At 49.9% G+C, this 12,025-nt stretch overlaps 1 protein-coding gene and 1 long non-coding RNA gene across 6 annotated transcripts in view; one reads left to right on the top strand and one right to left on the bottom strand.

Moving 5' to 3' along the window:
• The window catches only part of PRMT8 (protein arginine methyltransferase 8), a 212,625-nt gene that overhangs the window by 99,360 nt on the left and 101,240 nt on the right, over nt 1–12,025 (bottom strand). For 4 of the 5 annotated variants that reach the window (NM_019854.5, XM_017019644.2, XM_047429157.1 and 1 more), the window contains exon 1: nt 2,914–3,411. The exons of the other annotated variant lie outside the window; for it this stretch is intronic. In NM_019854.5, coding sequence (NP_062828.3) covers nt 2,914–2,988 — 75 coding nt within the window. In that variant the 5' untranslated portion in view covers nt 2,989–3,411. Of the gene's footprint in view, nt 1–2,913; nt 3,412–12,025 lie in introns of those variants that run through there. 5 annotated transcript variants of the gene reach the window in all.
• On the top strand, nt 1,795–10,902 carry THCAT155 (thyroid cancer-associated transcript 155). The gene is made up of 2 exons (NR_126055.1): nt 1,795–1,882; nt 5,012–10,902. It is a non-coding gene; the product is annotated as a thyroid cancer-associated transcript 155 (long non-coding RNA).

Genomic DNA, 12,025 nt, shown 5'->3' with positions numbered 1-12,025 from the left:
CATCCTTGCCCACCTCCATCACTGCATCTCTCCCTTCCAAAGTATTCCTCTCTGCCCACTCCTCATCTACTCCCATTCACACATGGCATCTTGTTAGAAATAGCAAGGGCAGGGCAAACAGCAATGAATCAGAAGTGGGGGCAGTCTGTGTTTCAGGGCTGACTTAACCCACCAGAAGACTTTCAGCAATTGCTTGACCTCAGCCTCGGTGTCCTCAACTATAAAATGGGTATAAGAAATGAATACTAATCTTTGCTTATCTCACAGGATTGTTGTGAGGATGGAATGAGATAAACAACAAAAAGCAGGAAAAGGTGGCTACAGGATTATCCATCATAGTTGTCCATGAGACTGTGAGCCCCTCCAGAGGAGGGACCAGGTGGTCCTCATGTTTGGAACTTGGGTACCTAGCTTTCCTGGTACAGAGCCGGTGCTTGACAAAGAGGTGTGGAATTCAGAACTAGGACCACTACCACGCTCCCCACCACCCACTGACACACGTGGAGGCGTGCTCCTGCCGCTCTCATCTACCATAAATGCAGGCAAGTCCACAACACCCCACTTTTGGAAGTGCTGCTCTAGTCCTGGCTTATTCCAAAAACAGCCAGTTCCTGGAGGGAAACCAAGTGATTGTCACGCTGCCTGGATGCCTCCGCTAGGCACGTTTGACCAAGTCTGGGTTCTACCCCTTCTCCAGGGAAGTTGCTAAGAACCGATCCGCCAACCTGGCTCACACCCCTCCAAGGAGCCCCAGCTGGGTCTGTCCCTCCCCGCACCGCCTTGGTGCCCCGCACGCGACGTGGTTTTTTGTTTGTTTGTTTTGTTGTTGTTCGCAGGAGCCCGGCCGCCCCTACTGCTGTTTTCATTGATGCCTTCAGCAGAGCTGGCATGTGCAACTGCTGAGAAGGGGGAGCGCGGAGCGGCGGGGGAAGCAAGTAAAAATAGACTGGCGCGCGGCGCTCTGCCTGCTCCGGACGCCTTTAACCCTCGCCGAGGCTGGGAGAGCGCAGCAGCCGCCGCTGCACACTGCGGAACCTGGCAGGGGTCTGCACCCAGACCCCGCGCGGCAGCGGGGGTAGGAGGCAAAGGGAACCGCAAAAACTTTTTCTTAGAAAAATGAGCCGGGGGTGGGGTGAGGTGGAAATGCAGGGAGGAAGCGCCTTCTCGCTTCCAGGGCTCCAGCCACCTGGCAGAGACCGCTACGTGCCCGCTCGCTCCACACTTCACAGAAGCGCGGCCTTGAAGCCCTGGGCTATTTTTAGAAACCCTTTCGGCGGGTGGGCGATCAGAGGGCGGAGGGTGAGGGGAATGGTAAGGATGGCTTTCTGCTGGGAGGCTAGCCGCCTCGCACTACACATCATTCCGAATGTCTGCTCTCAGGTGGGGGCTGGGGAAGAGGAAGTGGTGAGGGGACGGCGGGCACGCAGGCTTTGCCCTAACTCAAGGAGACAGCATTCGCTACTGAATGCCCCGCTGCGTTCAAGTCCCGGAGCGTGTTTGTTTTGAAATTGACAATTGTCAGATGCATGCTGCTTCTAGTCTCTCAGAGAAGGGGGATTTATAAAGCTTTGCTGCCTACGCCGTGGGGTAGGGGTTTTAGCGCAGAGTTAAGAACTCGAGGGAAGAAGACCAGGAAGGGTCTCTCTACCTTTTTGCATTCCGGCAAGACAGAGGGACAATCCCCGCGCCACACCCCCATCCCCGCCCCCCGCTGCATATGGGTAACCATATGTGAAATGTGCGGCAGCCCCACCAGACACCCAGCTATTAATAGAGCCTGGGAGTTTGCTCTCTGTGTCTTTTTCCTGCCACTGAGTAAGGGATGATCTTCACACACATGCCCCACTCCGCCCCCATCTCGGCGCACCGTTTCTCCAGGAAGGTAAGGGGGCTGCCCACGCTGATCCCCTTCGTGACTACAGGTGCCCAGAGCCTACGGAATAGTCCGGTTGTTGTAATGACAGCGGGGTCAGAGGGAGGCGAGGGATCACAGCCTCGAGTCTCGGGACGCAAAGCCCAGCAGGGCTCTCTGCGGCTCAGGGCCAGCTGGAGAGTAGAGAAAAAGGCTGCCGAAGGCGGGGGCCGAGAACACAATTTGCGGAGCTAGAGCGACCTCCTCAAAAGCCCTTGCGGGACGGGTGGCTGCAGACCCATTTCTCACTGCAGCCGGCGGCGCGCAGCCCCCACAGTCCGCGCAGGCTCGGCTGCTGCAGGGGCGGACGCTGTCCCTGGTGCTGAAGGTGGCCGCGGCCCGTGTGCCCTGCCGGGTTTAGCTACCCAGAGGCGGCTCTGATATCTGAGGATTGCAGACTTCTCTCTGGCCCAGATCTGGGCCGGAGGGTCTGTAGGAGGTGCCCGAGTCCTCCTGCCGGCTCGGCCCCCGCGGCCGGGGGCTCTCCGCGCGGCTGCGGGGACGGAGAGCTCGGGAACCGACTCGAGCTTGAAGGGTAAAGCTGAGGCAGCGGCAGGAGACGGTCAAGGCACTGCAGGGGGCAGACCTGGCCCCAGGATTACCCACCCCAGCTCTGCACAAAGCCGGGACCCGGGAGCCCTCACGGAGCCCAGAGGAGAGGGCAGGGGAGCGCGGCTGCCCGGGGTTTGGGACTTGGGGGCGGGAGAAGGGAGCAGCGGGTGGCAGGAGAGGGTGATGGGGTGAGAGTGACTGTTTTGCATTTTCAAGAGGGAGGGGACCTGAGACATGAACTTCCCCCCCACCCCCCACCAACACACACACACACACACACACACACACACACACACACACACACACACACACACACAGGAGGAGGCCGGCAGAAGCGAGCGGGATGAAACTGGGGAAAGTTTGGCACTCGGCGCTGAGCGGCGGCGGCGGCGCGGTGGTCCGGGTGGGCGGCGGGGTCTCCGAGAGCCCCTGCTCGCTCGCCTCCTTACCTCGGTGCTCTCGGCCGCGTTCTCCGCCATTTTCCTCCTCAGGAGCAGGCAGCGGGAGGAGTGTTTCATGCCCATAAGAGCCGGCAAGGGTTTGGTGATACCGAGATAGTAGAGGAGGAGAGAGAGCTGGTGTCGCTTTAAAAGAGAGAGCGAGAGGATGGGAGAAAAAAAAAAATCCAACCCAGCCCCTCAGCTGGAGCGTCGGCCGGCACAGTCAGCCACAGCGGAGTCTGTTCTGCAGTCTCCACTTTCTTTTATTTTCCTCCCTTCTCATCTGCTCCGGATTCCTTCACACGGTTTCAAGTTCTTCTCGTGCCCCCGACCCCCTCCCCGCCCCTCTCCACCCGCGCTGCGGGCTAAGCTCGAGGGAAGCAGCCCCGAAGCCTCCGCGGCGGCGGCGGCGGCGGTCGCGGATCCTCTCCAGGCTGCTCGCAAAGTCCGGCCGGCCGGAGGCAGCCGCCAACTCCTCTCAACTTCTGCCGATCCGCTGGGCGAAGCAACACGCTTCCTGCGCGTCTCTCCTAGGGGCTGAGCCGGGTGAGTGGGGGCGGGGTAGGAGGTTCGCTGGAGCCGGCGGCGGCTGGGCGCAGACCGAGGGCCCCCAGCGCCCCCGGGCCCGCCCCCTCCCCTAGTCTCCGAGGGTCTCGGCCGCCTCCACTCCCTGGCGCTGCACACAACTTACGTGGAGGCCAGGCCCGCGCGGGGGGCCCAGAGAAAGCCGGCGCCGGGCGAGGCTCTTGCAGGTTCTCAGACCCGGTGCGCGTGCTCCCACCTAGGGCGAGGTCCGGGCGAGACCGGGCCACAGTTAACTCGCACCCTCCCCACCCCGGCCCACCCCAGCTCTCCCGCTCCTCTGCCAGTTCCTGGATCCTTCCTCGGCGAATTACGATTTGGGGAACGAAGGGGTGGGTGTCTGGATGGGGGAGGGTCCTTAACTCCTTCAACTCTAGGGGTAAGTGTGGTGTCATTCTTTATCCTTTTCTCTCTCTCTCTCTCTCTCTCTCTCTCTCTCTCTCTCTCTCTCTTTGTACCCAAAGCCCTTGGGACTCCAAGCCCCTTTCAGGCTGAGAGGGAGGGGCAAAGGTGGCGGCCAGAGTGGCTTGGGAAAGAGGGTGGGAGAAAGTCAAATGCGAGACTGCAGTGCCCCCCCCCCCACTCCAGTCTTCCCTGGCAGCCCCCTGCCCACGCATTTCTCTTCTCCCTCCTCACCCTTCCCCCACCATCGCCAGATTTTGAAGTCCCTTTTATGGGAGAGAGGGAGGATGTCACGTACCCGTCAGGATTCTCTTGATCCTTTTTTAAGGGAGTTTGGGCGGCAGCAGGGGGTGTGAATTTTTATACAATGCATTCCTGTCTTCACTTTGAGAGCTTCTTTTTCTCTGTTTTACTGGCCATCTGTCGGGCAGTGGGAGATAGAACAAAAGCGGGGGACCCCATTCTGCCTCTCCCTTTGCAACAGGACACTCAGGCTGACTCCTTAAAACAGCTGTACTTTTAAGCTTTCAACCTACGAGTCAAGGACTGAGACCTATAAGATGCTCCCTGAGCACCCGGCTGTCTTCACTTCATCTCTGTACTTGTTTGGGGAGGTCCCTCCCAAATGCCCTATTTGCTTTTTATCATCACCTTCGATAACTGGGAAGTGTGAGCCTGACTGTCCTCAACTAACCCCAGAGTCCATTGAAGAAAAGGTCTAGAATCATTCTCAGTAGGAAACATGCCTCCATCATCTGGTCCTCGGGCAAAGAGAGGATACATTGCACTAAGTAGAGGTGAGAAGTGAGGGATAGAGACAGGAGAGGATGAAGAATGAGAAGGATGAAAATGTAGCAAGAGGCTTGAGTGTGTGTGTGTGTGTGTGCGCGCGTGTGTGTGTGTGTGTGTGTGTGTGTGAAAACTTGAATAAAAAGATGACCTTAACCTCCTTAACCTTTTCCCTTCTCAGAACACAGACCTGGGTTAGAGTTGGGGGTGAGTGAGCAGAATCCTTGACAACACCCAGTCGTTCCTCCCGTTCTGTCAACATGCAGAAAGTGGTAGGAAAATAAATGTGAATCTGGAGAATGACTTTTATCCTATTGAATTCCCTTTTCTCTAGGCATCTTCTCAGAGACAAAAGATTCTGAGAGACATCTAATTCCCTACCAAAAGTGTCTCAGTGTTTGTGCAATCAAAGGAAATCAGAAAAGAAATGATCCTCACCGCTCTGTGGTCCAATCCTCTCATTTTACAAATAAGGACCCCAAGATTGGAGAGAGGAGGACATTTGCCCATGGTCCATCAGCAAGCAGAGGACCCAGCTCCCCAGCCTCCTGACTTTCAGTCCGACACTCTGCCCCCACCCAACACTGCTTCTGCTTGTGCATGCCTTCTGTGACTAACCAGGGAGGAGGGGAGCTGAAACAAGCTCCCACCGAAATAGGCTGCTGCCTGTGCGTGATTATGTTGCTATGAGAACCTCAGTGGGTGTGTTTCCTCCTTTCGCTGTTGAAATCTTTTGCTTTGCTTGGCTTCTCCCCAAGCACAGACACGTCTCCCTTTGGAATGGGGAGTGGAGAGGCTGAGATGGAGAGCTATATTTTCATGGCAAGAGTTTTCTGTCCCAACCCATCCAACCCAGAGCCAGCCTGGGGCTGTGAGTGAGGAGCCTATGCCACTAGGGTGGTTCCATAAAGGCTGGAGTACAGGAGTGAACTGTTTTGAAAGTGGATACTCTAGCCCCCTGTTGAGCTGTCTTAGAACAAAGAGGTGCTGTTCCTGCTATGTAACCACCTAAGAACAAATTCACAAGCAAGCTAATTATTACTTTAAGAGACGAAGTTTGGGGTGATTTGTTATACACCAAGAGATGACCTGAACATTCACATCTTATGATTGTGAAAAGTGCCTAGCACATAGTAGGTACTTTGTAGAACTATTTTCTCAGCATCCCTACCATTCCTGTGAATTCAGTCTTTCTCTATCTCTTTTGCAAAAATATATTAGCATAGTCTTTCACCAGGTTAATTAGTTTAGTCATCCCACAAATAATTTACTAGGCATCTCTTAAATGCCCAGCTCATTAATAGGCACTAGCCTTAACAAGAGGCAACAAAACATATTGAATTGACCATTGATGAGCTCTTAATGTAGTCATGTTGGATGCTTTTACAGGTACAGATCTTCTGTAGAACTCTTAAGGAGATTTTCATGGGAGGCAAGAAAACATGTGGGATGATAAGGGGTTCAGAGAGTTCACTAGTGTGTGAGTCAAATGGGTAGTTTGAAACAATAGACCCTACCAGGTAAAGAGGTTCTGAAGACGCATTTTATTTATGTAATTTTTCTTATACTAGATCTTCAACACAACAAAAGTAGAGTGCTTAGAACAATGCCTATCTCATGGCAAGTGCACAAATATTATGTCAACATTCGCTAGGCCCTGTCCTAGGCACATGAGTTAAATTTTATAGAACACTTGCTAAGTCTTATAGAACACTTACTATATGCCAGAGATTATTCTTGACCTACCTGTGTTCTCATGTAGCCCGTTCAACAGCTTTTTGAGGTAGATACAATTATCCCCATATAACAGATGAGAAAACAAAAACACAAGGAATTGCCCAAGTGGTAGAGGCAAGATTCAAATCTAAGATACCTGATTCCATAGCATAAACCTCAAGAAGTTGACCAGGTTCAGGGAGCAAGACAGTGGTTCTCAACCTTGGCTATACAGTGGAATCATCTGGAGAGCTTTAAAAATACCAGTGCTTTAGTTCTACCCCCAGAGAGTATGATTTAGTGAGGTTTGGGCATCAGGATTCTTTAAGCCTCTAATTCTAAGGGACAGTGATGATTGGAGGACAACTGGACAAGAATATCTGGAGACAAAAACACCTGCAGAGGAAGAAGATCCCTAAGTTACAGAAGATCCAAAACAAGAACCCCACACTGTAAGGAGGTCTATCTCTAACTCACAGGTTCTTGAGAGGCCTGGACTGGAGGAAAGCTGTGTTGATGGTTGGGATGAGACCCTTGGGGAGGGTTACAATTACAAAGGTTATCCAGCTTTGTGAGATGCTGCAGAAGAAGTGAGTTTCCTATTACTGGAAAGGCTCAGTTAGATTAATTGTTGGCGTAAATGATGTAGAGGCCCCACAAACGCCAGAAGGTTGAGCAAGCCCTCTGAGGTTCCACCTGCCTTGTGCTGGGACTCTGTAATTCTGTCTCCTGTCAACTCTGAGCCCATGCTGGAACCCCAGAAGGTGAAGACTGTACCATACTTCATCTCCAGGGGCCAACCAACACTTCCTTTTGCTGCTGCCCAAAATCCCAGGCCCCTAGAATCAGGAAGCAGCATTTTAACTGCGGACCATGCTGCCTGGGAAATCTCAGGCTCTAGCTTGTTCCAATGGTCGTTGCTGCTGAAAGGGGCGACATATTATGTGGTTTTCTCCTCCTCCTCCCAGGGGACCTCACACATGGCCAGGGTTCACATATGGCCACAGCACACTGCAGTGAATCCACGACTCCTCGAGAATCAGGCCAGAGCCATGATCCATCACCACCTCATGGCAGCTACCCCAGCAGTGTTCTTAGTGTCTTCTGGGCCAGATGGGAGCCAAGCCAAGGCTGCAGCAGCCAGCTACCTGGCTGAGCCTCCAGGCAGCCCCACACCTGGGCCGTTCTCCTACACAAAAGCCTCTGTGGTCCTATTCCTCCCTAACCCAAGGCCCAATATTTTTAAACTGCATTCCAAAGAACAACTCGCTGAGTGCCACCAATACCTGCAAAGCAATATGAGGTGGGATTTTTCTTTTGCCATTAAAACCAGAATGTTATTTCTTCCTTGCTCTGATAATGTCTGATTAAATCAATTCACTGCGGTTTTGTGCTGGATATGATACTATTTGCTTTAACAATATCTGGGAGGCATTTTCTTAGTATAATACTTCTGCATTTATAGCTTAATCCTGCTGTTTTATTCTAAAAAGTTGAATACTCTTGTTACCTACCTTTCTCTAAGGATGAGAAAGACCCAAAAGATTCTGTTGTGCTGCCACAACAGAATTAGCTTTTTCTACTGGGTGGACGTTGTATACTCTACTCCTTTCCTCCTTTTTAAATCTTTCATTAAGGCTCACCTTTTTATGGGAAATCTCTCTGGAATCCCTGAAAGCCAACTGGAAGCCATTCAGTCTTTCCAGTGCAATAACTTAATACATATTTTTTTCTGTTAACTTTATATGACTATGGGCCAAGCAAGTGCTAAGTATTCTGGACTAAAAGGTGAAGAGACTTATCTCTGCACTGGTGACCCTTATCTTCCAGGAAGAGTTGGTTAAATGACTAACTCTAATATACTAACTGTTATAATAGATTTAGGTACCATCGGGGGTCTTATGCATTGGTTCTCATAGGTTAAATATATATATATAATATAATCAATGGCTTACAGTCAGGTAGGCCCTGCAAGAAGTATCTACTGATATGGACCGGGAGACCCTGGAGGCTGTAGGGCCTCAACCAGAAGCATGGTAGATTCCAAGTGTGCCTGGAGACACATTCTTTTTACCAAGATACCAAAGTTCTTGTATGCCTTGGAAACTTTTACAGATGAGAAGTTTTATAGCCTTTTCTCTCCAAATGCACTATTTACCAATGTCACTTGTGGCATAACACATTGTCATCTGCCTTAGCATAGGGCTGACCTCTGGTGCGTCAGGGCAACCCGACCTGAAAACGCATAATGAGTGGAGGTGGTAAAACAAAGCTGTGATTGAGTCCACCTTTTCCTTTCTGGACCATGTAACCATTCTGATCCCTTTCTTCTCAGGGGATTTTATTTTAATTTAAACTTTGCTAGATTTTTCTTTCATTTAAAACTTCACCCCCTTAAGGTAATATTAACATTTTACTGTGTACTCTTCTCTATTTTTTGCTCATGCAAATATATATAAGACCTAAGTTATATATATAAAAGTGTGTGCTGTTGGTGTATGCTGTATATAAATGGAATCATGTTATATACATTACTCAGAAACTTGCTTTCTTCATTAAACAGTGTATAATGGGCCTCTTTCCAGGTTACTACATGTAGATCCAAGTTATTTTTAAAAGTGTATAACATCTCACTGTATGGATAAACCATACTTTCCAAACAATTCACCTACTGATGAATTTTCAAGTTCTAAGCAATATTTTAATAAATGAGTTTTAAATATACCCTTATGAACAGAAGCTTTTATTTTCATATGATAGTTTCCCCCAAAGTGATATTACCTTAATATCCATTGCCAGTTCCTCATGAAATTGTAATTTCTAAGACTGTAGCTGGAACAATCAGAAGGTGCAAATCTAATTATCTTTCCCTTTCCTACCCAACATCGCCCTGGATCACGCACTTGAGGAGGAAGATCCATGAAATAAAAGACGTAATCCTGTTTTAAATGTGTTTCTATAGCAAGAGTCTTCCAATGCCTGGGGAAAGGCTCATGAGAGATGCTGAGACCTGGGGCATTCTTTCCGAGAGGTCTTTACAGAGAACAGATCACTTCCAATTGCTGGGCAACAGAGCATGGATTTCATGTTACCAAGAAGTACTGTGATCCGAAAAACTTAAGATTTTCTTAATTGGCATCAGTTACCTGTCTCTTAGGTAGAACTACCACAAAGGACACTCAGGCCTGAGGTGCACCCTCTCTTTCCTTTCCTTCCAGAGGTTGTGCCTGCAGGAGAGCCTGGATTGATAGCAGCCTGCCACCCCTGCCCATACCAGTGCCTAGTAGAAGCCCACTCCCTCAGAAACCACACTCCCCACTCCCCAGAAGGTCTTGTTTGACTCCCTTTTAAACCAACATTTTCTGTATTCAGACTTGCCTGTAATAAGTGACTTACCCATTGCCCTCAACCTAAGGAAGCCTTGCCATTTAAAACCTCCCAATGGAGCCTATCAAAGCGTGCTTCAAAGTGTGAGGGAGGCTGAGAGAGGAAGTAAGTGAGATGAAGGAGGCGTTTAACAGAGCCTAGGAGAAAGAGCTTTGTGGTCTTACAGAACAGTAAGTTAACCTCTCCATCTGTGTACAAACAGCTTAATGGTGATCACTGCCTGGCTAAGGGGTTGTGAGGACAAAATGAGCCAATGCAGATGAAGCATCTGGCACAGTTCCTGGGACATAGTATTGTTAACACAGGTGAGTTTCCTTTTCTTCAGCTCGTCCTAAAAGACCGTATTTAACCATAGCAGACAGAGACACAGAGTAAGAAGGAGAAAGAGCATGACAGCAGGGGTCAGCGTGCCTGTGCACTACTAGTCCCAGCTCTGTCATTTAGCAGCCAGGTGGCCTTAGGAAAGTCATTTAACTTTTCTGGGCCTGTTTCCTCCTCTTTAAGAGATTTGCCTGAGACAAACCCCGCATCCTCCTTCTGTTTGCCATTTCATTCATGATGTGGATTATGATGCTAACCACCTCCAAATGACAGCAAAGACTGGTCAGAGGCATCTCAAATCAAAATTCAACTCTGATGGCCAAAATAAAGGCTGAAGAGCAGAACGCCCCCTCCTTCCCACTGTAAAACTGATGGGAAGGGAAGTCAGCCTGCCATCAGTTCAGGGGTTTACAAAGGAGGCCTGTAAGTAATGTTAATTACTGTGTTCATTCCAGCACTGGGCTCTAGTTTAGCTTTTCCAGAGGTCGAAAGAGGTGCCATTTTTTAAGAGCCCCATTTGGCTCCAGCAGCCTCAATAGTAGTAGCCAAGCAGCCATTATAAGTAGTCATCACTCGATTTCCTCATCACTTGTCAGGAGGCAGAGCTTGATGGGGAAGTCAATGAATTTCTCAGCAATACAGGCTACTGGGCTGTAAGTCAGCATAACCCCATAGCTCTCAATGATCCATGTCAATACATGAATGACACAAATCGCAGATTATTGAAAAAAAATTGTTCTTTGACTCATTGTATGTATTATGTATTTTTACATGCAAATAAAATTTCTACCTGTCTATCAATTCTTGACTACAAAATATATTCAAATTAACGGGCTGCTCAGACATACGCAGTGATGGCGACAGACCATAGTCCTTAAAGCAGGGGGCCAGGTTGCTGGAGAAGCCAGCCAGAGTCCTCATCTTACCAGACACAATCTACTCTGTGGCTTATTCACCTATGGAGAAACAAAAACCCATGTTTATCCCAGCGTACCTCTCAACCTCAAGTCTCAATAAAGTGGGGTTAAGGACCACTCAAGTTATTCCACAGGAAAAAAAAAACTATCATGGTTAAGTGACATTTTAAAATCACACAGCAAGAGAAGAGTGGTTTCCATTTCTTGGATCTTCCAGGTATCCATTTATTTCCAACACAGCTGTCATTTACAGAGGGAAGGGCTTTCGTCTCCAGGGATGGAAACCCTGCAGGCAAGTATGAGAACTGTCTCCTGTGCTGTGCTTCTTTCTGCCTAGGGCCTCGCAGACGGGAGAGGGAGCCTGGTATCATCAGGAGAGTGACCACAGGCCAAGTACCCACTGCGGACCGGGTGCTGTGCTGTGTGCTTCCCGTGGAGCACACCCACCAATCCCCACAGCAGCCCCAGGCATTAGTTACATGGTTACCCCCATTTTACAGATCACGGAAGGATGGCTCAGAAAGGTTGCTGAACTTGTCCAGGTCACACAGCAAGGTGTGGGTCTGAACCCTGCCTAAAAACCTTGTCTCCTTGACACCAGCGATGGCACAGACCTCAGAGCCACACAGACCTGGCCTTAAATCCAGGCTCTGACAGTTAACTGACTCTATGATCTTGGACACGTTGCTCAACCACTCTGAGCCCCCAAAATTCCCATTTGCCGAGAGAGATGGGCCTGGTAAAACCTACTATTATGGGCTGCTGTAAATTGCCTCACCCAAAACCAGGCTCATTGTGGACCTCAGTAAATGGGAGTGATGACATGTGGCGTATGGCTGAAGGTGACAGGCTCAACCCAGCAAAACTGCATCTGTTGTTCAACTCTCAGGCACACATACAAGTGTAAAAAGGACACCCCAGCCCCAGAGGCCAGAGTATCTGTCAGCCTGACAATGGCTCTTGACAGGGCAACTCCACTTAAGTGACACCTGTCAACCTGTGTTCTT

Source organism: Homo sapiens, chromosome 12 (genome assembly GCF_000001405.40).
Source record: "Homo sapiens chromosome 12, GRCh38.p14 Primary Assembly".
NCBI classification, from domain to species: domain Eukaryota; kingdom Metazoa; phylum Chordata; class Mammalia; order Primates; family Hominidae; genus Homo; species Homo sapiens.
This window is presented reverse-complemented; position numbering and strand designations above follow the sequence as displayed.